A 2,201-nucleotide genomic window follows, 5' to 3' on the forward strand; every position below is an offset into this window, starting at 1 on the left:
GGAAGTAAAATTAAGACATTGCTAGATAAACCAAAACAGAAATAATTTGTTGTCTGCAGAAACACCTTGCAGGAAATTCCACAGAAAGTTCTTCAGGATGAAAGGAAGTGACACAAAATCTACATTCAAAATAAAGAGTATCAATAAAGGTAATTATGTAATTACTAAAGACAGTATAATTGCATATTTTTTCTTTCCTTTATTAAATGATTTAAATGGCAATTATATAAAACAATAATTATACAATTGTCTTTTTGGACCTATAACATATAGAAATATAATATATATAACAGTAACAACACAAAGGACCAGGTGGGCACAAATTTGTATTGGAGCAAAGAAAAGACATTAGATATTATAACAACAAAATGATGTTAAGGAAAGCAGAAAGAGTAAGTACATGGTAATTATAACAAGCTCAATAAATATACACTTCTTTTCTCAGCCTATTTAAATGACATAAAATCATATAAAGTAATAATTATAGTAGTATATGATTGTATTTGTAACCAAAATAAACTTAATATATACTATAATAATAGCAAAAGAAAGAGAAAGAAGAGAAGATACAGCTAAGTAGGAAGAGCATCACTGAGGAAGGCTAGATGTTGGGCTTACTAAACATTTGGTTACCTGTTTTAAATATGTTAAAAGAAGTAAAAGAAACAATGCCTAAGGAACTAAAAGTAAAGTATGAGAAAGGAAAATAAACAAATGCAAACTCTAAATTTAAAAATACAATAACTTGGCCAGGCAAGGTGGTTCATGCCTGTAATCCCAGCACTTTGGGAGGCTGAGGTGGGCAGATCATGAGGTCAGGAGATCGAGACCATCCTGGCTAACATGGTGAAACCCTGTCTCTACTAAAAATACAAAAAATTAGCCAGGCATGGTGGCGGGCGCCTGTAGTCCCAGCTACTCAGGAGGCTGAGGCAGGAGAATGGTATGATCCCAGGAGGCGGAGGTTGCAGTGAGCCGAGATCTCTCCACTGCACAATGCACTATAGGCTGGGTGACAGAGCGAGACTCCGTCTCAAAAAAAAAAAAAAGAGGAGGAGCCAAGATGGCCAAATAGGAACAGCTCTGGTCTACAGCTCCCAGTGTGAGCGACGAAGAAGATGGGTGATTTCTGCATTTCCTGCTGAGGTACCGGGGTCATCTCACTGGGGAGTGCCAGACAGTAGGTGCAGGACAGTAGGTGCAGTGCACCGTGCACGAGCTAAAGCAGGGCGAGGCATCACCTCACCCGGGAAGCGCAAGGGGTCAGGGAATTCCCCTTCCTAGTCAAAGAAAGTGGTGACAGATGGGACCTGGAAAATCGGATCACTCCCACCCTAATACTGCACTTTTCCAACGGGCTTAAAAAACGGCACACCAGGAGACTATATCCCACACCTGGCTTGGAGGGTCCTACGCCCACAGAGTCTCGCTCATTGCCAGCACAGCAATCCGAGATCACACTGCAAGGTGGTAGCAAGGCTGGGGGAGGGCTGCCTGCCACTGCGGAGTTAGTTGTTTGATTAGGTAAACAAAGCAGCCGGGAAGCTCAAACTGGGTGGAGCCCACCACAGCTCAAGGAGGCCTGCCTGCCTCTGTAGGCTCCACCTCTGGGGGCAGGGCACAGACAAACAAAAAGTCAGCAGTAACCTGTGGAGACTTAAATGTCCCTCTCTGACAGCTTTGAAGAGAGTAGTGGTTCTCCCAGCATGCAGCTTGAGATCTGAGAATGGGCAGACTGCCTCCTCAAGTGGGTCCCTGACCCCCGAGTAGCCTAACTGGGAGGCACCCGCCAGTAGGGGCGGACTGACACCTCACACGGCCGGGTACTCCTCTGAGACAAAACTTCTAGAGGAATGATCAGGCAGCAGCATCTGCGGTTCACCGATATCCGCTGTTCTGCAGCCACCGTGGCTGATACCCAGGCAAACAGGGTCTGGAGTGGACCTCTAGCAAACTCCAACAGACCTGCAGCTGAGGGTCCTGTCTGTTAGAAGGAAAACTAACAAACAGAAAGGACATCCACACCAATAACTCTTCTGTACGTCGCCATCATCAAAGACCAAAAGTAGATAAAACCACAAAGATGGGAAAAAAACAGAGCAGAAAAACTGGAAACTCTAAAAATCAGAGCGCCTCTCCTCCTCCAAAGGAACGCAGCTCCTCACCAGCAATGGAACAAAGCTGGACGGAGAATGACTTTG

The 2,201-nt window shown here is 44.5% G+C and overlaps 1 annotated feature.

Moving 5' to 3' along the window:
- Positions 1,362 to 1,945: an enhancer, noted in NCBI's record as "OCT4-NANOG hESC enhancer chr6:19247492-19248075 (GRCh37/hg19 assembly coordinates)". NCBI's record gives its function as "activates a minimal SCP1, AML or CMV promoter by ChIP-STARR-seq in naive H9 embryonic stem cells {active_cell/tissue: H9 hESC(naive)}" and the evidence as "EXISTENCE:reporter gene assay evidence [ECO:0000049][PMID:30033119]".

This window comes from Homo sapiens, chromosome 6 (genome assembly GCF_000001405.40).
Source record: "Homo sapiens chromosome 6, GRCh38.p14 Primary Assembly".
In the NCBI taxonomy this organism is placed as follows: domain Eukaryota; kingdom Metazoa; phylum Chordata; class Mammalia; order Primates; family Hominidae; genus Homo; species Homo sapiens.